At 48.9% G+C, this 22,890-nt stretch overlaps 1 non-coding gene and 2 pseudogenes across 1 annotated transcript, besides 3 other annotated features; 2 read left to right on the top strand and 1 right to left on the bottom strand.

Moving 5' to 3' along the window:
- Nucleotides 147-646: an enhancer, noted in NCBI's record as "H3K4me1 hESC enhancer chr7:152298587-152299086 (GRCh37/hg19 assembly coordinates)". NCBI's record gives its function as "activates a minimal SCP1, AML or CMV promoter by ChIP-STARR-seq in naive H9 embryonic stem cells {active_cell/tissue: H9 hESC(naive)}" and the evidence as "EXISTENCE:reporter gene assay evidence [ECO:0000049][PMID:30033119]".
- Nucleotides 647-1,148: an enhancer, noted in NCBI's record as "H3K4me1 hESC enhancer chr7:152298085-152298586 (GRCh37/hg19 assembly coordinates)". NCBI's record gives its function as "activates a minimal SCP1, AML or CMV promoter by ChIP-STARR-seq in naive H9 embryonic stem cells {active_cell/tissue: H9 hESC(naive)}" and the evidence as "EXISTENCE:reporter gene assay evidence [ECO:0000049][PMID:30033119]".
- On the bottom strand, nucleotides 6,118-6,225 carry LOC124901846 (small nucleolar RNA U13). The gene has a single exon (XR_007060680.1). It is a non-coding gene; the product is annotated as a small nucleolar RNA U13 (small nucleolar RNA).
- RNA5SP250 (RNA, 5S ribosomal pseudogene 250) lies at nucleotides 9,057-9,175 on the top strand (annotated as a pseudogene).
- RPS20P19 (ribosomal protein S20 pseudogene 19) lies at nucleotides 11,084-11,597 on the top strand (annotated as a pseudogene).
- Nucleotides 19,579-20,079: an enhancer, noted in NCBI's record as "H3K27ac hESC enhancer chr7:152279154-152279654 (GRCh37/hg19 assembly coordinates)". NCBI's record gives its function as "activates a minimal SCP1, AML or CMV promoter by ChIP-STARR-seq in primed H9 embryonic stem cells {active_cell/tissue: H9 hESC(primed)}" and the evidence as "EXISTENCE:reporter gene assay evidence [ECO:0000049][PMID:30033119]".

The raw sequence follows: 22,890 nt of genomic DNA, 5'->3' as shown, positions 1-22,890 counted from the left end.
GGAAAAAATTCATTCAACTAATATTGAACTTACTGAGCATGTACTATGGCCGGATACTGTTCTTGGTAGTGGGGGTATAACAGTGAACAAGATGGGAGTAGGGAGAGTACACAGATAATAACAAGTACATTAACACACAATTACATAATCTAATGTCAGGTGGTGACAGGTGCTAGGAGGAAAAATAAAGAAGAGAGAGGTGACAGGTGGTGAAGAGGGTGCTGTTTTAGATGCGGTGGTGAGGGAAGGCATATCTGAGGAGGGAACATTCAAGCAAAGCCCAGATATTTGCAAGGCCCTCGGATGGGAGGGGACTGGCCTGCTCAAGGAGCAGCAGGGACTCGAGGAGCAACAGGGAGGGCTGGGAGGCAAATTCAGGGGGAGTCAGACGCCAGGGCTGGGACTATCTGGGAGACCGTAGTAAAGATTTTGATTTTGATTTTTAATTTAATAAAAGTCATTGGAAGTCATTGGAAAGTTTTGTCCTGGGCAGTGCCATTCCCTGACTCATGCTCTGGAAAGATCACTCTGGCTGCTGTGCGTAGAGTTGTTTGCCAGGGCCTAAGTGGACACAGAAGAGCCAGTTAGGAGACAACTTCTGCAGAGAAGACGCGCGGCCTTGGTGGCTTAGACAGGCGGCCCCGGCGTGGGGGGGAGAAGTGGCGGGATACGGCAGACACACGTTTCCTGTTAGGCTGATGGCGTGGAGGTACAATGCGGGAGAAAGAATTAGGGATGGCTACAAAGGCTTTTACCCCAGTTAAAGGAGGATAGCATTTACTCAAGAAAGAAAAGGGGCAAGAAAAGCTGGCTGCATGAAAACTGAGTTGCCGCGTGCGTGGTTTGCATCTGCCCAAAGAGGGTGGTGACAGGAAAAGTCACAAAAGGCAGTGTGAAGGCATCTTCCGTTAGTGCACGACTAGCAACAGCCAGCTCACTCAGGTAAACATGAGGAAAACTAGAGAACCAGTCCCCAACCAACTCTGACTAGTTCCTGGGAGCTGGCCAGTAAATGAGGCTCTGCTACTCAAGACTAAGTTTGTGGTTTTCCTATGGCTTCTCTTAAAAATCAGTTTTATATGGGCCGTGTGTGGTGGCTCACACCTGTAATCCCAGCACTTTGGGAGGCCGAGGTGGGCAGATCATGAGGTCAGGAGTTGGAGGCCAGCCTGAGCAACATGGTGAAACGCCATCTCTACTAAAAATACAAAAACAATTAGCCGGGCGTGGTGGTGCGCGCCTGTAATCCCAGCTACTCAGGAGACTGAGGCAGGAGAATCGCTTGAACCCGGGAGGCAGAGGTTGTAGTGACCCGAGATCACACCACTGCCCTACAGCCTGGGTGACAGAGTGAGACTCTGTCTCAAAAAACAATAATAATAATTTTTATGTCCTTTGAATCAGCGTCTAACCGTACCACATTATTTTTTGTCTTAAAATTCCCCTCTTAGTAATGCAATTTTCCTTGGAGGTCAGTTAAAACTCATATGCTATCATATGCCTTGCAGCAGCTGCTGGACTCCCAGATGTCACGCGCCCACTCAGGACCTTCAGTCCAGGCTCCTATTTGCCCTCCCTTTTGGTGGTTTATCACAAACAAATATCCTGAAAATATTCTATTGCTGTCAAATCTAACAAAATTATTGATATAGCCAGCTTTGGGACTGTCACTTTCCAAAGACAATAAATCACTTACAATGTCATGGTCTAAATAAAACAGATTGGTTACTCACCGCATACACATAAATCTAAGCTGGCCAGGCACAGAGGCTCACACCTATAATCCCACCACCTTGGGAGGCCAAGGTGGGCGGATCACTTGAGGCCAGGAGTTCGAGACCAGCCTGCCCAACATGGCAAAACCCTGCCTCTACTAAAAATACAAAAAACGTTAGCTGGGTGTGGTGGTGCACATCTGTAGTCCCAGCTACTTGGGAGGCTAAGGCACGAGAATCGCCTGAACCCAGGAGCGGGAGGTTGCAATGAGCCGAGAATGCGCCACTGCACTCCAGCCTGGGCAACAGAGAGAGAGTCTGTCTCAAAATAAGTGAACACATAAATAAATAAATCTAATATTGATTCCTTCAGGTTTCACTTAATGAGCCATGCAAGAGGATCATATTTTAAATGAATTGTAATGTGAGTTATTCACATGGTTTTAAAAATACGCTCTTGTTACATACAAACAATCTGCGTAGGACGCGTCTCCTTTTGCCTGGACAAGATATAAGCTGTTAACTTTGGGATTCGCAGAAGAACTCTTTGGCACAAGGCAGAGGCCACTCGTTATTACCGAACTAAAGGGTTTCCAAAGGCCAGCCGCAGGTAGGCGGTGTGCAGTACCATGAACTGCCCTAGTTAAAAGTTTGTATAAATTAATAGGAAAAACACTAAAACTCAAGAGAAAAATGGGCCCAGTGTGTAAACAGGTAATTCCAAGAAAGTACACAAGTAACTTTAAAAACCATTAAAAGTGGTCAGCTGGGCCGAGCATGGTGGCTCATGCCCGTAATCTCAGCCCTTTGAGAGGCTGAGGTGGGAGGATTGCTTGAGCTTGAGCCCAGGAGTTCAAGATCAGCAAACATGGTGAAACTCTGTCTCTACAAAAAATAAAAAATTAGCCGGGCATGGTGGTACACGCCTGTAGTCCTAGCTACTTGGGAGGCTGAGGCAGGAGAATTGCTTGACCCTAGGAGGTCAAGGCTGCAGTGAGCCATGATTGTGCCACTGCACTCCAGCTTGGGTGACAGAGCGAGACCCTGTCTCAAAAAAACAAAAATAAAATATAAATAAAATACAAATGGTCAGCCAAAGTGATAACCCAGAAATGTAAACTAAAACAATATGAAACAGCATTTTAGGCATTCTAATTAAAGACAATAATAATAATTTTGGGGAGAGTAGAATTCAATTTTCATACACAGTGGCAGGGGAGTAAATCAGTACAAATGTGAAAAGCACTTTGGAAATCCTTAAAATCCAAACCATTTGATCTAGAAATTCCCCTTCTGGGAATCTATTTTAAGGAAAGTTTTAAGCAATAGAAAATTTTGTATTAAAAAAGACCATCAAGTTATTTCTAATAGCAAATATAACTGAAGACAACTTTACTACTTAACAATAGGAAACTGGATAAAGAAGTTACAGTCCTGTGTATCCATATAATCAAATATGATGCTGCCATTTAAAGTGACGTCTCTGAGCCATTTTGCTTTTGACAAACTCTTTCAAAACTTAGCTCTCCAACTTTCCGACATCTACCTAACACCTAGATTTCCTGTCTCTAGATGTACCGTGATAAATTCAGACTTTCTCCTGCTGCAGACATTTAGGTTATTTCCAAGGTTTTTTCCCTTTTAAAAGCACTCAAGCAAGCATTTATGTGAATATTCAGACGTACACTAAAGACCAAGAAACATCTTGAAAGACAGTTTCGCTGGGCACGGTGGCTCACGCCTGTAATCCCAGCACTTTGGGAGGCCAAGGCGGGCGGATCACGAGATCAGGAGTTCGAGACCAGCCTGGTCAACATAATGAAACCCCGTCTCTACTAAAAATACAAAAATTAGCCAGGCATGGCGGTATGTGCCTGTAGTCCCAGCTACTCGGGAGGCTGAGGCAGGAGAATTGCTTGAACCCGGGAGGCAGAGGTTGCAGTGAGCCGAGATCATGCCACTGCACTCCAGCTTGGGCGACAGACTCAGACTTTGTCTCAAAAAAAAAAAAAAAAAAAAAAAAGCCGGGCGCATTGGCTCACGCCTGTAATCCCAGCACTTTGTGAGGCTGAGGCAGGCGGATCACGAGGTCAAGAGATGGAGACCGTGCTGGCTAACATGGTGAAACCCCACCTCTACTAAAAATACAAAAATTAGCTGGGCGTGGTGGTGTGTGCCTGTAATAATCCCAGCTACTCGGGAAGCTGAGGCAGGAGAATGGCTTGAACCCGGGAGGCAGAAGTTGCAGTGGGCCAAGATCGCACCACTGCACTCCAGCCTGGTGACAGAGTGAGACTCCATCTCAAAAAAACAAAAACAAAACAAAAGAAAGACACCTTCAGAGCAATTCTGGTCTGGGGACCTTGTTGAGAGTGGCTGGGTCCCCAGGCCAGTCCCACAAGCCCACTGAGAGCTGCAGCTGCACAGGTCTTTCCAGAACTGGAAGCAATATTCACAGCCACACTCATTATCACAACTCCCAGGACTTCAAATTTGTATCAAAATTTTCATGTTTATCTTCCCTAAAGTCTCCATAAACAAATCCAGAAACTGCTCAGGGACAAACTTATTTGCTCCTGGGAAGAGAAATCCCTCCCAGGCATGTGCAGGCCGGCCTGCCACAGGGGACAAGGAGCTAACGGAAGTTTTGTCCAGGAGTAACGAACGCCCACGTCTAGTTGAAGATGCAAAGGAAAACAGACAGACAAACATGATTACCCAGCGTGGGCCCTGGGCAGGACACCACAGTGACTGCCTCATAGCCACCTACATACTTTTTGGTTGGTTTGTTTCTTGTTGTGGCCAATTGTTCTGCCCCACCCTCCACCACTGTCACTAATTCAAACCAGGAGGGCCACGGAGGGAGGTGACAACGGAGAGGGAGTAGGCTGGGTTTGGTTGTGTTCTTTTTTTGTTTTGAGACAGAGTCTCACCCTGTGTCCAGGCTAGAGTGTAGTGGTGCCATCTCGGCTCACTGCAACCTCTGCCTCCTGGGTTCAAGCAATTCTCCCGTCTCACCCTCCCAAGTAGCTGGGATTATAGGCACGCTCCATCATGCCCAGTTAATTTTTGTATTTTTAGTAGAGACGAGGTTTTGCCATGTGGCCAAGATGGTCTCGAAATCCTGACCTCAAATAATCCACCGGCCTGGGCCTCCCAAAGTGCTGGGATTACAGGTGTGAGCCACTGCACCCAGCCAGTTTTATTTTGTTCTGTTTTGATAGCAGAACTCCCTGTTACAACAGGAGCCTAAAGCAGCAATCTATTAGTTAGACTCTGGGGGCAAGTAATAACCACCAGCTCAGTGAAAGACCGCCTAGAATCCATTCACTGGCTTGGAGGCAGGAGGTGGGGTGAGAGTTTAGCATGAGGACAGCTGGCTCCTTCTCACATGTGACAGTCTTGTGAGCCTATTATGGGGTCTTCAAGCTCCATCAGGCAGAAGGGGGGCAGCTTCTGCTGGAAGGGGCACTCTGTGGGTTGGGGATACAGCAAGCTCCAGGTCATCCAGATCTTTCCGCATGGCCCCATCCAAGCCACTGGACCCTGTGGAGTCCTCCTTATGGGAGTCCTCCTGTTCACAAAATAGTGCATAGCCTGTCACAGACTGTAAACAGTACCCAGTGGCCAAAGCTGCATAGACCGGCAGCCGCACACTGCCATTGTTGGAGATTCCCATTCAGAAGAGTCAGAAATTCCCCAGTTCTTTGAAAACATCTTAAGCCAAAACTTAAGACTTATTGTCTCCAGTGTTGTTGTTGTTGTTGTCGTTTTCTGAGACGGAGTTTTGCTCTTGTCACCCAGGCTGGAGTGCAATGGCACAATCTTGGCTCACTGCAACCTCCACCTCCTAGGTTCAAGTGATTCTCCTGCTTCAGCCTCCCAAGTAGCTGGGATTACAGGCACCCGCCACCACACCTGGCTAACTTTGTATTTTTAGTAGAGATGGGGTTTCACCACGTTGGTCAGGCTGGTCTCCAGCTCCTGACCTCAGGTGATCTACCTGCCTCAGCTTCCCAAATTGCTGGGATTACAGGTGTGAGCCAACATGCCTGGCCAATTTTTTTTTTTTTTTTTTCCTGAGACAGAGTCTCACTATGTCGCCCTGGAGTGCAGTGGTCTGATCCTGCCTCACTACAACCTCCGCCTCCTGGGGTTCAAGTGATTCTCCTGCCTCAGCCACCTGAGTAGCTGGGATTCCAGGCACCTGCCACCACATCCAGGTAATTTTTATATTTTTAGTAGAGACGGGGTTTCACCATGTTGTCCAGGCTGGTCTCAAACTCCTCACCTCAAGTCATCTGCCTGCCTTGGCCTCCCAAAGTGCTGGGATTACAGGTGTGAGCCACCACAACTGGCATCCAGTGTAGTTATTTATTTATTTATTTATTTATTTATCCAAGGTCAGGTCCAGGGTAATGTGCCAACATCGTAACAAGGTTCAGAGGGTGGCACATCCCACACGTGCACGTGAACACCCAGTCATCGTGCTCGGGAACTACAGGGGCCTCCAGTGTATCTAAATGCAGCCAAACAACGCGCCAAGTTTAACCTTCTTGTTTCCATCCCATTCCATGGCTGTCCCCTTTCATTCCGCACAAAGCCTTGCCTTCAATGGATGTGACAGTCCAGGTCACGACAAAGTCCTCACTGAAGTGACACTTTTGCCCCTGGTGCTCACCCTTCTACACGAAATGCATTCTCTCTGTGTTCAGACCCACTCATTTCAGATAACAAACTTCATATCCCGCTTTTCCTGAAGGTCTGTTGCTTGGGACCACTCCTGGTACCAATGTGTAAGGGTCAGGATTTTTAGTTACCAAAAACAAAACTCAGAACAGAATTCACCATGGCTAATTTAAGCAGAAAAAGACAGACACACAAAAGATTTGCTAAAGATCTCAGGTTGGCCGGGCGCGGTGGCTCATGCCTGTAATCCCAGCACTTTGGGAGGCCGAGGCGGGTGGATCACGAGGTCAGGAGATTGAGACCATCCTGACTAACATGGTGAAACCCCGTCTCTACTAAATGTACAAAAAATTAGCCGGGCGTGATGGCGGGCGCCTGTAGTCCCAGCTACTTGGGAGGCTGAGGCAGGAGAATGGTGTGAACCCGCAAGATGGAGCTTGCAGTGAGCCGAGATCACTGCACTCCAGCCTGGGCAACAGAGCGAGACTCCGTCTCAAAAAAAAAAAAAAAAAAAAGACCTCAGGTAACTCACAAGCTCAACCCCCCTTGAGAGGGGTCGGAAGAAAGGCGTTGAGGCTGAGCTTCCTGTGGCAACTCTCAGGACCATGGCCACAGCCACAGCCACAGCCTATCCCGAGACCTGAACCCAGGGGCGTGACTTTCCTGCAAGCATAGCTGAACCCAACATGGGCCCTCAGAGACTCACTCTTGCCACTGCTGCTGCCCCCAGCAGCCAGGTGTCACCACCACTAGCAGTACCAGCAGAGCAGGATCTGTGCACAGAGCCTCTCCCGTCAACCAGTCCCTGTCACGCGAAAGCTTAACACAGGTGCATCCGAGGGGTGTGAGCTGGGAAGCGTGTCCATGTCTCCTGGCAGAGAGGCTAGGAGTCTCTAGGAGTCTGAGTTCACACTTCTTTTTTTTTTCCAGAAGGTGTCTTGCTCTGTCACCCAGGCTGGAGTGCAGTGGCACAATCTCGGCTCACTGCAACCTCTGCCTCCTGGTTTCAAGTGATTCTCCTGCCTCAGCCTCCCAAGTAGCTAGGATTACAGGCATGCACCACCATGCCCAGCTAATATTTGTATTTTTAGTAGGACGGGGTTTCACGATGCTGGCCAGGCTGGTCTTGAACTCCTGATCTCAAGTGATCATCCTGCCTTGGCCTCCCAAAGTGCTGGGATTACAGGCGTGAGCCACTGCACCCAGCCGTGAATTCACACTTCTTGGTAGGGAAGGCAGAGTTCATAACATGGAAATTTAACTGGAGAAAGGTACCCAGAGGGTGATGGGAAACCTCAGTGGGACAAAGGCCCACTCACATGATGGAGCTGAAATGGTCATGTTAGCCTATTGGGTCTAGTTGTGGTCAGGTCTTGTCATTCCTTAGAAGACAGCATGTGGGAAGGGGGTACCTCAGGGTTTCTGCGTCTCCCCAGCAGTGCATTGTGAGAGTTCTGTGTCTGAGACAATTCATCTGTACCTGAGAAATCTTACCTAGCACATCTTAAAGTCCCAGAGTTCTAATACCGTATATTTCTTTTCATGTAAATCCATGATACCGCAGCCGGGCGCGGTGGCTCAAGCTTGTAATCATAGCACTTTGGGAGGTCGAGCCAGGTGGGTGGATCACCTGAGGTCAGGAGTTCAAGACGAGCCTGGCCAACATGGCGAAACCCCGTCTCTACTAAAAATACAAAAATTAGCCAGGCGTGGTGGTGCATGCCTGTAGTCCCAGCTACTTGGGGGGCTGAAGCAGGAGAATTGCTTGAACCCAGGAGGCGGAGGTTGCAGTGAGCTGAGATTGCACCACTGCACTCCAGCCTAGGCAACATGAGACTCTGTCTCAAAAAAAAAAAAAAAAAAAAATCCATAATATTGCAATTGTGATTGGAAGAAACATTATCCTAGCCAGGCACAGTGGCTCACACTGGTAATCCCAGCACTGTGGGAGGCTGAGGCAGGTGGATCATTTGAGCTCAGAAATTCAAGACCAGCCTGGGCAACATGGCAAAACCCCATCTCCACAAAAATTACAACAAAAAATCAGCTGAATATGGTGGCACGCACCTGTAGTCCTAGCTACTCAGAAGGCTGAGGTGGGAGGATCAACTGAACCAGGAGGTTGAGGCTGCAGTGAGCGGTGATTGCACCACGGCACTCCAGCCTACGCAACAGAGGGAGACCCTGTCTCAAAAAAAGAGAAGAAGAAATAAAGAAGCATCAACCCACTATTTGCACTGGTCACTGTCCCTGGAACTGTCCAAAGCAGGCCCTGACCTTCCCTGTAGGAGTTTGAGTAACAGCAATAGTTCCTAGCTAGGAACACTTGGGAAATATGTAAATATGTAAGGCAGCCGGGCGCGGTGGCTCATGCCTGTAAGCCCAGCACTTTGGGAGGCCAAGGCGGGTGGATCATTTGAGGTCAGGAGTCCAAGACCAGCCTGACCAACATGGTGAAGCCCCGTCTCTACTAAAAATACAAAAATTAGCTGGGTGTGGTGGTGGGCACCTGTAATCCCAGCTACTCAGGAGGCTGAGGCAGGAGAATCGCTTGAACCTGGGAGGCAGAAGTTTCAGTGAGCTGAGATCGCGCCACTGCACTCCAGCCTGTGTGATGGAATAAGACTCCATCTCAAAAAAAAAAAAAAAAAAATCTCCCGCCATACCACCCTGAATGCACCCGATCTAGTCTGATCTGGGAAGCTAAGCAGGGTCAGGCCTGGTTAGTACGTGGATGGGAGACTGCCTGGGAATACTGGGTGCTGTAGGTGTGGCCTGGCACGGTGGCTCACACCTGTAAATCCCAGCACTTTGGGAAGCCAAGGCAGGTGAATCACCTGAGGTCAGGAGTTTGAGACCAGCCTGGCCAACATGGTGAAACCCTGTCTCTACTAAAAATACAAAATTTAGCCGGGCGTCGTGGCAGGCGCCTGTAATCCCAGCTATTCTGAAAGAAAAAAAAAGAAAAAGAAAAGAAAAGTAAGGCAAATGAACCAGTCCATCATTAGCATCACCTTCCCGGAGCATTTAGTCACGGGAGTTTCTGTTGATGGGGCATCAGAGGTCATGATAACGATGGGAGGAACAACCTGGAACACTGAGCCAGGCCGTTTTCCTAGAGACCCACAGCCGGGATTCCACGTGTAGGTGTACAACAAATGCGCCAACATGACATTAGAGTTTCTGGGAAGCATGAAAGGGATGAGAGAGATGAATGCATGAACTCACAGAGGCAAGGGACATTCAATGGCAGGGGTCAGTTTGGTGAGGATCCAGAGCCACTGAGCAGCCACTGAGAAACCTTCACCGGAGAAGAGTGGAAAACTAAACCTCCAGATCCCCGTCCAAGCAACCATACCCTAAAATCGCTCCGGGCTCTCTCAGTACACTCACAGATTACCAGTGACATGAATGTTAATATTTTATGGCCCTAACTTGCACTTCTAAAAGTTCTAATTAATCTCACTAGATAAAAGCTGGCAAGCATGCTGGTACAAAGGAGAATCGCACCCTCCTCGCAATGTCTGTGTGCCAACTCATCTGGGATCCTGCAATGATTTGCCCTGTCTCGGCTCCATAAAGGGGCCAGTAATTAGCATCTGGAAGCTAAGCCACACTTCCCCACTGGCTGCCATTTGCTGATTGTTAATTAATTAACTGATTGATTAGCAGCTTCCTGTAGCACTGGCTAGTAAAGGCCCCTTCAAGGAGTTCTCCTCAGTTCTCCCCTCTCCCCACCTCCTCACACCCTGGCAGGAGAAGGATTTCCATAACACCCTTGAAAGCAGGGCTACATCTTGGACATTGTTTCTGTAGCTTGCACGGCGCCTCGCACACAGAAAATATTTACAGAGTAAAGGGATGGAAGATTGGTGGATAGATTGATAGACATGAAAATGTATGATATACTTCCTATTGTTCTCTCACGTTATAAAATTTTTTTCTGAACTTTAGATCAGAAGAGAACTTAAATATTATCCAACCTAATTTCATTTTAAGGATAAGGAAACAGGCCAGGTACGTGGCTCATGCCCGTAGTCTCAGCACTTTGAGAGGCCAAGGCAGGTGGATCACTTGAGGCCAGGAGTTGGAGACCAGCCTGGTCAATAATGGCGAAACTCTGTCTCTACTAAAAATACAAAAAAAAACTAGCCAGGCGTGGTGGCAGGCACCTGTAATCCCAGCTACTTGGGAGGCTGAGACAGCAGAATTGCTTGAACCCAGGAGGCAGAGGTTGCAGTAAGCTGAGATCATGCCACTGCACTCCAGCCTGGGTGACAGAGCAAGACTCTGTCTCAAAAAATAAATAAAGAGGGAAAAAAATATAAGGAAACAGGCCCACAAAGGTTCAAAGGATGTATACATATGCTCAGCTACTAAGAACATAGACTAGGCCGGGCACCGTGGTTCATGCCTATAATCCCAACACTTTGGGAGGCCAAAACAGGCAGATCACCTGAAGTCAGGAGTTTGAGACCAGCCTGGCCAACATGGCGAAACAAAAATACAAAAATTAGCTGGGTGTGGTGGCGTGTGCCTGTAATCCCAGCTACTTGGGAGGCTGAGGCAAGAGAATTGCTTAAACCCAGGAGGCGGAGGTTGCAGTGAGCTGAGATGGCACCACTGCACTCCAGCCTGGGCAACAGAACAAGACTCTGTCACAAAAAGAAAAAAATTCACTCTTTGAGGAGGACGCAGTCGTAGGTGGTGAGGAGCTCGGATCCACCCGCTCCCGCTCCTCACTCACCGCTGTTTACTCTTGCCCAGGAACAAGTTGGTCAGGAAGCCACGCAGGAGCCAAGGCTTTTAAAGATACTGTAAAATCACCCGTGGAGCTGAGGTGGCAATTCACCGAATTCGAACCACTCTAACCAGCCGCAAGGTAAAATCCCTGGAGAAGGTGTGTGCCCACTTGATCAGAGGGACAAAAGAAAAGAATCTCAAAGTGAAAGGACCAACTGGAATGCCTACCAAGACTTTGAGAACCACTACAAGAGAAACTCCTTTTGGTGAAGGTTCTAAGACATGGAATCGTTTCCAGATGAGAATCCACAAGCAACTCACTGACTCGCGCAGTCCTTCTGAGATTGCTAAGCAGATGACTCCATCGGTATTGAGCCAGGAGTTGAGGTGGAAGTCATCATTGCAGATGCTTAAGTCGACTGTCTTAATAAATTGATTATCAGTTGTTAAAAAAATTAAATTAAAATCAGCTTATTCAGGTTTCCTAGAAGATTACATGGATGACAAAATTTAATCTATGGCCCAAATGAGGGAACTGGAGTTAGGAACATCTATTTTTGCTTTCCATGTTATTTGATTATCTGAAATGTATACAGAAGATGTTCCTGTCCTTTTTTTTTTGGAGGGGGGGGATGGGGTCTTGCTCTGTCACCCAGGCTGGAGTGTAGTGGTGCAATCTCAGCTCACTGCAACAACGTTCACTTCCCAGCCTCAAGTGATCCTCCCACCTCAGCCTCCCAAGTAGCTGAGATTACAGGTGCACACCACCATGTCCGGCAAATTATTATTTTTTATTTTTTATAGAGATGGGGTTTTTCCATGTTGCCCAGGCTGGTCTCAAACTCCTGGGCTCAAGCAATCCACCCACCTTAGCTTCCCAAAGTGCTGAGATTACAGGCATGAGCCACTGCGCCCAGCCAGATGTTACTATCTCGTTTAACAAATAATGAAACCAGCCGGCTGGGCGCAGTGGCTCACGCCTGTAATCCCAGCACCTTGGGAGGCCGAGGCAGGCAGATCACCTGAGATCGGGAGTTCAAGACCAGCCTGACCAACATGGAGAAGCCCTGTCTCTGCATGGTGGTGGTGCATGCCTATAACTCAGGAGGCTAATGCAGGAGAATCACTTGAACCCGGGAAGTGGAGGTTGCAGTGAGCCAAGATCGCATCATTGCTTTCCACCCCGGGCAATGAGAGCAAAACTGTCGAAAAACAAAAACACAATAACGAAACTGAACTCTGGAAATTAAAATAAATTCATCATGAAATCAGTGGATTGGAGTTGGATGGTTAGAATGGGAAAGGACCTTAGAAAGTATCTATCCAGGCTGGTCATGATGGCTTACACCTGTAATCCCAATAGTTTGGGAGGCTGAGGCAGGAGGATTGCTTGAGGCCAAGAGTTCAAGACCAGACTGGACAACATAGGGAGACCCTATCTCTACAAAAAAAAAAAAAAAAAATAGCCAGTGTGGTGGCAAGCACCTGTTATCCCAGCTACTTGGGAGGCTGTGGTAGGAGGATAGGTTGGGCCCAGGAGGCGGAGGCTGCACTGAGTCATGGTTGCACCACTGCACACCAGCCTGGGTGACAACAGAACAAATCCCTTTCTCTCTCTCTCAAAAAAAAAAGTATCGGCCGCGCACGGTGGCTCACACCTATAATCCCAGTATTTTGGGAGGCCGAGGCGGGCAGATTGTCTTAGCTCAGGAGTTCGAGACCAGCCTGGGCAACATAGTGAAACCCCATCTCTACTAAAATACAAAAAATCAGCTGGGCATGGCAGCATGCACCTGTAGTCCCAGCTACTCAGGAGGCTGAGGCAGGAGAATTGCTTGAACACAGGGGAGAGGTGGGGGTTGGTTGCAGTGAGCCAAGATCATACCACTGTACTCCAGCCTGGGCAACAGAGCAAGACTCCATCTCAAAAGAAAAAATAAAAAAGTATCTATCCAAATACCTCTTTTTGAAAATGAGAAAACAATTTTTTTTTTTTTTTTGAACAGAGTTTTGCTCTTGTCGCCCAGGCTGGAGTGCAATGGCACAATCTCAGCTCACTGCAACCTCTGCCTCCCGGGTTCAAGCGATTCTCCCACCTCAGCCTCCCCAGTAGCTGAGATTACAGGCGCCCACCACCACACCCAGCTAATTTTTGTATTTTTAGTAGAGACAGGGTTTTACCATGTTGGCCAGGCTGGTCTCGAACTCCTGACCTCAGGTGATCCTCCCACCTCAGCCTCCCAAAGTGCTGGGATTACAGGTGTGAGCCACCACGCCCAGCCGAGAACACAATTTTCAGTCCTCTCTTTAATCTTAACTCTAAAATAACTCTTCTCTGGATATCGTCATTTTTGCCATCTACAATAAATGACCTTGTGTGTCATTAGCAACTAACCAACCTAACAACACTTAGAATAAACAAAGCCTGTACTGAGAATTTTCATCATTCCTATGTCACCCAGGCTGGAATGCAGTGGTGCAATCTTAGCTCACTGTAACCTCAAATTCCTGGGCTCATGTGATCCTCCCACCTCAAGTCTCCCAAGGCGCTGGGATTTCACTGCGTCCAGCCAAAAGATAATTTTAAAGGTAAAATTATAATTGCTCTGCAAATATAAAAGGTACTCATGTCAGAGACTTCATTTAGCTCATTATCTAATGGGGAACCAGTAAAATGTTACAACTAATTCAAAAGAAATTCAAACAACAAGCAATAATGTAAAATGATTTTACGATATATGCAAGATAGATCAATCCACAGGGCAAAAATAAATTGTGTTCCACCAGACACAATTAGTTTGCACTTCTACGGACAAGAATCAATTTTCTAAAAGTCACAGAGTTGTAAAGCATCCCAAAGACAAAGACAGGCTGAGATAGCTTAGGAGCTGAGCTAGACAGGATATACTTTCTAATCCTTTCAGTCCATACACAATTTTTTTCCAAGCTAGTAAGAATTAATTCTTGAATTCCATAAAATATTGAAGAAATACCTAATAGTAAATCTACACAAACTCTTCCAGAGAATTGAAAAGTAGGGACCACTTCCCATTCCCTCATTCTATGAGGCAAGTATTACTCTGTTACCAAAACCAGATAAAGACATTAAAAGAAGACCAATATTCCTCATGAACATAGATGTAAAAGCTCTCAACTAATTAAATACACCAATATGTAAAAAAGATAAGACATCATGACCAAGTGAGGTTTATCCCATAAATGCAAAGTTGGTTTAACATTTGCAAATCAATCAACGTAGTTAATTCTATTCATAGACTCAAGAAAAACATTATCTCAATAGACATAGAAAAAGCATTTGACAAAATCCAGTATCCATTCCTAACAAACTCTCAGTAAACTAAGAATAGAAGGGTGCTTCCTCAACCTGAAAAGGGCATCTATGAAAAACATACAACTGTCATCATACTTCACAGTAAGAGAGTGAATGCTTTCCCACTGAGGTCAGGAACAAGGCAAGGATGCCCACTCTCACCACTTCTATTCAACAGTGCCCTGGATGCTCCAATGGAGCAATAAGGCCTAAAAAATAAATCAATAAATAAAAGTAAGGAAGTCATAAAACAAGGGAAAAAGTAAAACTATCTCTACTCACAGATAACATAATCAGCTGTGTGGAAAATCTGATGAATCTACAAAAAGGCTAATTAGCAAGAGTGGAGGATTCAATATCAGTATACAAAAACAACTATTTCTACATTCAAACAATGAACAATTGGAATTTGAAATTTTAAAAATAACATAATAGAATTAAAACATGTGGGGTCTCCCTCTGATGCCGAGCCGAGGCTGGACGGTACTGCTGCCATCTCGGCTCACTGCAGCCTCCCTGCCTGATTCTCCTGCCTCAGCCTGCCGAGTGCCTGCGATTGCGGGCGCGCGCCGCCACGCCTGACTGGTTTTCGTTTTTTTTTGGTGGAGACGGGGTTTCGCTGTGTTGGCCGGGCTGGTCTCCAGCTCCTAGCCGCGAGTGATCCGCCGGCCTCGGCCTCCCGAGGTGCCGGGATTGCGGATGGAGTCTCGTTCACTCAGTGCTCAATGGTGCCCAGGCTGGAGTGCAGTGGCGTGATCTTGGCTCGCTGCAACCACCTCCCAGCCACCTGCCTTGGCCTCCCGGAGAGCCGAGATTGCAGCCTCTGCCCGGCCGCCACCCCGTCTGGGAAGTGAGGAGCGTCTCTGCTTGGCCACCCATCGTCTGGGATGTGAGGAGCCCCTCTGCCTGGCTGCCCAGTCTGGAAAGTGAGGAGCGTCTCTGCCCGGCCGCCATCCCATCTGGGAAGCGAGGAGCGCCTCTTCCCCGCCGCCATCCCATCTAGGAAGTGAGGAGCGTCTCTGCCCGGCCGCCCATCGTTTGAGATGTGGGGAGCACCTCTGCCCCGCCGCCCTGTCTGGGATGTGAGGAGCGCCTCTGCTGGGCCGCAGCCCTGTCTGGGAGGTGGGGAGCGTCTCTGCCCGGCCGCTCCGTCTGAGAAGTGAGGAAACCCTCTGCCTGGCAACCGCCCCGTCTGAGAAGTGAGGAGCCCCTCCGTCCGGCAACCACCCCGTCTGGGAAGTGAGGAGCGTCTCCGCCCAGCAGCCACCCCGTCCGGGAGGGAGGTGGGGGGGGTCAGCCCCCCGCCCGGCCAGCCGCCCCGTCCGGGAGGTGAGGGGCTCCTCTGCCCGGCCGCCCCTACTGGGAAGTGAGGAGCCCCTCTGCCTGGCCAGGCGCCCCATCCGGGAGGGAGGCGGCGGGGGGGTCGGCCAGCCGCCCCGTCCGGGAGGGAGGTGGGGGGGTCAGCCCCCCGCCCGGCCAGCCGCCCCGTCCGGGAGGTGAGGGGCTCCTCTGCCCGGCCGCCCCTACTGGGAAGTGAGGAGCCCCTCTGCCCGGCCAGACGCCCCGTCCAGGAGGGAGGTGGGGGGGTCAGCCCCCCGCCCGGCCAGCCGCCCAGTCCGGGAGGGAGGTGGGGGGTCAGCCCCCCGCCCGGCCAGCCGCCCCGTCTGGGAGGGAGGTGGGGGGATCAGCCCCCCGCCTGGCCAGCCGCCCCATCCGGGAGGTGAGGGGCGCCTCTGCCCGGCCGCCCCTACTGGGAAGTGAGGAGCCCCTCTGCCCGGCCAGCCGCCCCGCCCGGGAGGGAGGTGGGGGGGTCATCCCCCCACCTGGCCAGCCGCCCCATCTGGGAGGGAGGTGGGGGGGTCAGCCCCCCGCCCGGCCAGCCGCCCCGTCCGGGAGGGAGGTGGGGGGGGTCAGCCCCCCGCCTGGCCAGCCGCCCCGTCCGGGAGGGAGGTGGGGGGATCAGCCCCCCGCCCGGCCAGCCGCCCCGTCCGGGAGGTGAGGGGCGCCTCTGCCCGGCCGCCCCTACTGGAAAGTGAGGAGCCCCTCTGCCCGGCCAGCCACCCCGTCCGGGAGGGAGGCGGGGGGGGGGGGGGTTCGGCCCAGCCGCCCCTTCCGGGAGGAGGTGGGGGGGGTCAGCCCCCCTTCCGGCCGGCCGCCCCGTCCGGGAGGTGAGGGGCGCCTCTGCCCGGCCGCCCCTACTGGGAAGTGAGGACCCCTCTGCCCGGCCAGCCGCCCCGTCCGGGAGGGAGGTGGGGGGGACAGCCCCCCGCCCAGCCAGCCGCCCTATCCAGGAGGTGAGGGGCGCCTCTGCCCGGCCGTCCCTACTGGGAAGTGAGGAGCCCCTCTGCCTGGCCAGCCGCCCCGTCCGGGAGGGTGGTGGGGGGGTCAGCTCCCCGCCCGGCCAGCCGCCCCATCCGGGAGGTGAGGGGCGCTTCTGCCCGGCCGCCCCTACTGGGAAGTGAGGAGCCCCTCTGCCCGGCCACGACCCCGTCTGGGAGGTGTGCCCAGCGGCTCATTGGGGATGGGCCATGATGACAATGGCGGTTTTGTGGAATAGAAAGGCGGGAAGGGTGGGGAAAAAATTGAGAAATCGGATGGTTGCCGGGTCTCTGTGGATAGAAGTAGACATGGGAGACTTTTCATTTTGTTCTGTACTAAGAAAAATTCTTCTGCCTTGGGATCCTGTTGATCTGTGACCTTATCCCCAACCCTGTGCTCTCTGAAACATGTGCTGTGAACACTCAGGGTTAAATGGATTAAGGGCGGTGCAAGATGTGCTTTGTTAAACAGATGCTTGAAGGCAGCATGCTCGTTAAGAGTCATCACCACTCCCTAATCTTAAGTACCCAGGGACACAAACACTGCGGAAGGCCAAGGCCGCAGGGTCCTCTGCCTAGGAAAACCAGAGACCTTTGTTCACTTGTTTATCTGCTGACCTTCCCTCCACTATTGTCCTATGACCCTGCCAAATCCCCCTCTGCGAGAAACACCCAAGAATGATCAATAAAAAAAAAAAAAATAAATTAAAAAAAAAAATAAATAAATAAAAAATAAAACATGTGAAACACTTAGGCATAAATCTGACAAAGGATGAACAAAGGATATACACTGAAAACTAATAGAACATTGCTGCAAGAAATCAAAGGCCTAAATAAATGGAGAAATATATATATTTTTTATTCAGTTTTTTATTTTTATTTTTTCCTTTATTTTTGTAGAGACAGTGTTGCCTAGGCTGGTCTCGAACTCCTGGCCTCCAGTGATCCTCCTGCCTCAGCCTCCCAAAGTGCTGGGATTACAGGTATGAGCCACCATGCCCAGACAAGAAATATATTTATTCATCAATTAGAAGACTCAATGGCCAGGCACAGTGGCTCATGCCTGTAATCCTAGCACTTTGGGAGGGTGACGTGGGTGGATCACCCAAGGTCAGGAGTTCAAGACCAGCCTGGCCAATATAGTGAAACCCCATCTCTATTAAAAATATAAAAATCAGCCGGGCATGGTGGCATGTGCCTATAATCCCAGCTACTCAGGAGGCTGAGGCAGAAGAATGGCTTGAACCCAAGAGGCGGAGGTTGCAGTGAGCCCAGATTGTGCCATTGCACTCCAGCCTGGGTGACAGAGCAAGACTCTGTCCCAAAAAAAAAAAAAAAAAAAAAAGACTCAATATTTCTAGATCCCACACAATCCCACTTAAATTTTCAGCAGTCTTTTTTTTGTAGAAATTGACAAGCCGATTTTAAAATTCATATGGAAATGCAAAGGACAAGACTTACTACAAAGCTTCAGTAATCAAAGCAATGTGATAGTGGTTTAAAAACACACAAACAGATCAATAGAACAGAATAAAAGTGCAGCAATAGACCCATATATATATATGGACATCAATTGATTTTCAAGAGATATGCAAAGGCAGCTAAGGGAAAGGATCATCTTTTCAACAGATGGTGCTGGAATACTTAGATATCCACGTGCAAAAAATTATTTAAGGCTTGGCACAGTGGCTCATGCTTGTAATCTCAATACTTTGGGAGGCCAAGGTAGGCAGATTGTCTGAGCTCAGGAGTTTGAGACCAGCCAGGGCAATATGGCCAAACTCTAACTACAAAAAAAAAAAAATTATTTTAATAATTTAAATCCCTGCCTCACATCATACACAAAAATTAACTCTAAATGTAAAACCTAAAACTATAAAACTTCTAAAAGAAAATATATTGATCTTAAGGCAAAGATTTCTTAGAAAACCAAAGCTACAATCCATAAATGAAAAAAAATTATAAGTTGTACTTCAAAAAAGTTAACAATTTTTGCCCTTCAAAAGGGATATTAGAGAATGAGGGCCAAGCATGGTGGCTCACACTTGTAATCCCAGCATTGTGGGAGGCCGAGGCAGGTGGATCATTTGAGCTCAGGGCCACCCTGGGCAACATGGTGAAACCCAGTCTCTACAAAAAATACAAAAAATTAGCCAGGTGTGGCGGCGCATGCCTGTGGTCCCAAGTACTCAGGAGGCTGAGGTGGGAGGATTGCTTAACTCCAGGGGGCAGGGGTTGCAGTGAGCTGAGATCATTCTACTGCACTCCAGCCTGGGTGACAGAGCAAGACTCTGTCTCAATAATAAATAAATAAAGTAATTAAATTAAATTAAATTAAAATGAAAGTAAACTACCTAATTTTTAAAAAGCTACAAGATTTGGACAGACACTTCACCAAAGAACATAGATGAATGGCAAATAGCACATGAAAAGATGTTCAAGTCGTTGGCCGTTAGGGAAACACAAATTAAACCCACAATGAGATACCACCGTACATTTATAGAATGGCTTAAAGACTGATTGTATGAAGCATTAATGAGGCTATTAGAGAACTGGAATTCTCATACACTGCTGTTGGCAATGTAAAATATAACAACCACTTTGGAAGTCAGGTAGGTGGGGTTTTTTTGTTTTTTTTTTTTTGTTTTTTGAGATGGAGTCTCACTCTGTTGCCCAGGCTCACTGCAACCTCTGCCTCCCGGGTTCAAGCAATTCTTCTGCCTCAGCCTCCCAAGAAGCTGGGTGAAGGCCTGCCACCACACCCAGCTAATTTTTTGTATTTTTAGTAGAGACGGGGTTTCATTCCCCCATGTTGGCCAGGATGGTCTCGATCTCCTGACCCGTGATCCATCCGCCTCGGCCTCCCAAAGTGCTGGGATTACAGGCGTGAGCCACCGCGCCTGGCTGGGTGGGTTTTTCTAAGTTAAACATACACTGAGTAGATGTACCATCAACTCAAGAGAAATTAAAACATGGACATACGAAGACTTGTATACAAATGTTCACAGCCACTCTCCTCAAAAGTGCCACAATTTGGAAATAACCCAAATGGCCTTCACCAGGTGACGGGTAAACTAGTACATTCCTACCATGAAATTCAGGCAACAGTATGGATGAATTTCAAAATAACTGTTATGTGGGGAAAAAAAAGTAAGAGAATCCATACTGTATGGTTATATTTATACAAACTTCTAGCAAATACCAACGGACCTATAAGAGCATGTGGGGGGCTGGGTGCAGTGGCTCACGCCTGTAATCCCAGCACTTTGGGAGGCCGAGGCAGGCAGATGATAAGGTCAGGAGTTCGAGACCAGTCTGGCCAGCATGGTGAAACCGCGTCTCTACTAAAAATACAAAAATTAGCCAGGCATGGTGGTGGGCGCCTGTAATCCCAGCTTTATATATATATATATATATATATACCCCTTGGGGACACGGCTGAGAGCGTGGTGGTGGGATGGAGGTGGGAAAAGGCAGGAGGGACAGATTACAAAAGGCCACAGGGAAACTTCTGGGAGTGATGAACTTCTGGGAGTGTTCATTATCTTGGTGGTGTTGACAGTTTCATGAGTATATGCATATGTCAAAATGTATCCAATTGTACCCTTTAAGTACATGTAATTTATTGTCTATCAACTGTATCTCAGTAAAGCTATTTTTATATAAAACCTACTGGAATGGTAGGATTCTAAGCAATTCCAGTTGCCATTTCAACCTAGGCACTTTTTGGGGGACTTGCTTTGGAATTTTAACCTGAATGTGAGTTGACAGCCCTATACCAATGCCATGACTATTTCTCACCTTTGAGGCTAGATTCACACTGCTCCCCCAGCCCCTGCCCGCAAGCATGCAGTATTTTTGGCATGATTCTCTAGGACAGGGCACTTCTGCTTCCATGGAAGGCCTGAGCACAAGCTCAGCTGCCACCTGTCTTTCACTGGATGGATGTATTTAGCTGACCTTGCTGATGGGGCACAGAAACTCTCCTGAGCACTCATCTACAGAGAACAATCTTCCTTGATCGAAGAAGGCTGTTTTCCGCCAAGACTGTAAGTCAATTTCAGGGAGTCCCCTGAGGATGCTACCACCACTGTCCGAATGCAGATTGTTGGGGAGGCTTGTGGGTGGAGCAGCAGGATGAGGCCCAGGTCCCAAGCTTGGGAGGCTTCCTGGACTCCCCACGCTGGGAAATGGCTAATGATACCAGTTCACAAGGGTAAAGAATGGGCTCAGCTGGGTTTAAAAAAAAAATAACTGGCCGGGAGCAGTGGCTCACGCCTGTAATCCCAGCATTCTGGGAGGCTGAGGCGGGCGGATCACGAGATCAGGAGATCGAGACCATCCTGGCTAACATGGTGAAACCCCGTCTCTACTAAAAATACAAAAAATTAGCCGGGCATGGTGGCGGGCACCTCTGGTCCCAGCTGCTCAGGAGGCTGAGGCAGGAGAATGGTGTGAACCCAGGAGGTGGAACTTGCAGTGAGCGGAGATCGCGCCACTGCACTCCAGCCTGGGCGACAGAGCGAGACTCTGTCTCGAAAATAAATACATAAAAATAACCTCTTCTACAGAAAATCAGTCCATGGCCAGACACGGTGGCGCATGCTTGTCATCCCAGTACTTTGGGAGGCCGAGGCAGTGGATCACCTGAGGTCAGGAGTTCGAGACCAGCCTGCCTAACATGGAGAAACCCCATCTCTACTAAAAAAAAATACAAAATTAGCTGGTTGTGGTGGCACATACCTGTAATCCCAGCTACTAGGGAGGCTGAAGCAGGAGAATCGCTTGAACCCGGGAGGCGGAGGTTGTGGTGAGCCAAGATCGTGCCATTGCACTCCAGCCTGGGCAACAAAAGCGAAACTCCGTCTCAAAAAATAAAAAAAAATCAGTCCATAATATTTGCACTGTCCCCAAAATAAAAGGGCAGCACCGCTCCTACTTTCTTTCCACATATGCCTGTCAAGCTGAATTGTTCTTTTACAATTTTGCCTCCTTTTATGTACATTTTAACATGTAGTACATATAACCCATGTACATGTTCCCCCTAGTGAAAAAGGGGGAAATGAAGTGATATCCACACAGTCTATCCCCTGAATTGTGGCTCTTCCTCCACCCTGACCCCCATGCACATCCATGTAGAACGTGGAGAGGCAGAGAGCAGCCTAATCACCCTGGCATTTGTCTGGGACATTCGTGAACAGGAAAAAGCACACAAAACAGATACCCAAGTGGCTACACTGAGATTTTAAAGACATCAGTGAGGATAGATTTGAATATCCAAAATAGAGTGAATGGCTGGGCAAAGCGGCTCACAGCTGTAATCTCAGCGCTTTGGGAGGCCGAGGTGGGCGAATCATTCGAGGTCAGGAGTTCCAGACCAGCCTGGCCAACATGGCAAAACACCCATCTCAACAAAGAATACGAAAAATTAGCTGGGTATGGTGGTGCGTGCCTGCAGTCCCAGCTACTCAGGAGGCTGAGGTAGGAGCCTCAGGAGGTCAAGCATGTACTCAGCTGTGATTGTGCCAGTGCACTCCAGTCTGGATGACAGAGTGAGACCCTGTCTCGGTCAGGAGTTCGAGAGCAGCCTGGCCAACACAGTGAAACCCTGTCTCTATTAAAAATACAAAAAATTAGCTGGGCATGATGGTGGGTGCCTGTAATCCCAGCTACTCAGAAGGCTGAGGCAGGAAAATCGCTTGAACCCAGGAGGCAGAGGTTGCAGGAGCCGAGATTGTGCCATTGCACTCCAGCCTGGACAGCAGAGCGAGACTCTGTCTCAAAAAAAAAAAAAAAAAAAAAAAAGGAGTGAAAATGAAGACAGAAGGCATTGGGCATTGTTGCCTGAGATGGTGAAATGAGATCACTGGAAAGAACGGGGCTGGATGGTCTTCATTAGCAGCTAGCAAGTCCCTTAAGCTCAAGAGCCTTCTTCCCAGCAGGGATGGTGGCATCATGAAGCTGTTGGGACAGTAGAGCTCTCTCTACGAGCTCCACCCAAGAACAGAGAGTTTTTGGGAACCCAGCAAACGGCCGCCCCGGCGAACAGGCTTCATATCCCGAGGATGACCAGCGTCCTGGAGAGGAGCCAAAA

This window comes from Homo sapiens, chromosome 7, assembly GCF_000001405.40.
Source record: "Homo sapiens chromosome 7, GRCh38.p14 Primary Assembly".
NCBI classification, from domain to species: domain Eukaryota; kingdom Metazoa; phylum Chordata; class Mammalia; order Primates; family Hominidae; genus Homo; species Homo sapiens.
The sequence above is the reverse complement of the archived record's forward strand: the minus strand, read 5'-3'. Positions and strand labels throughout refer to the sequence as shown.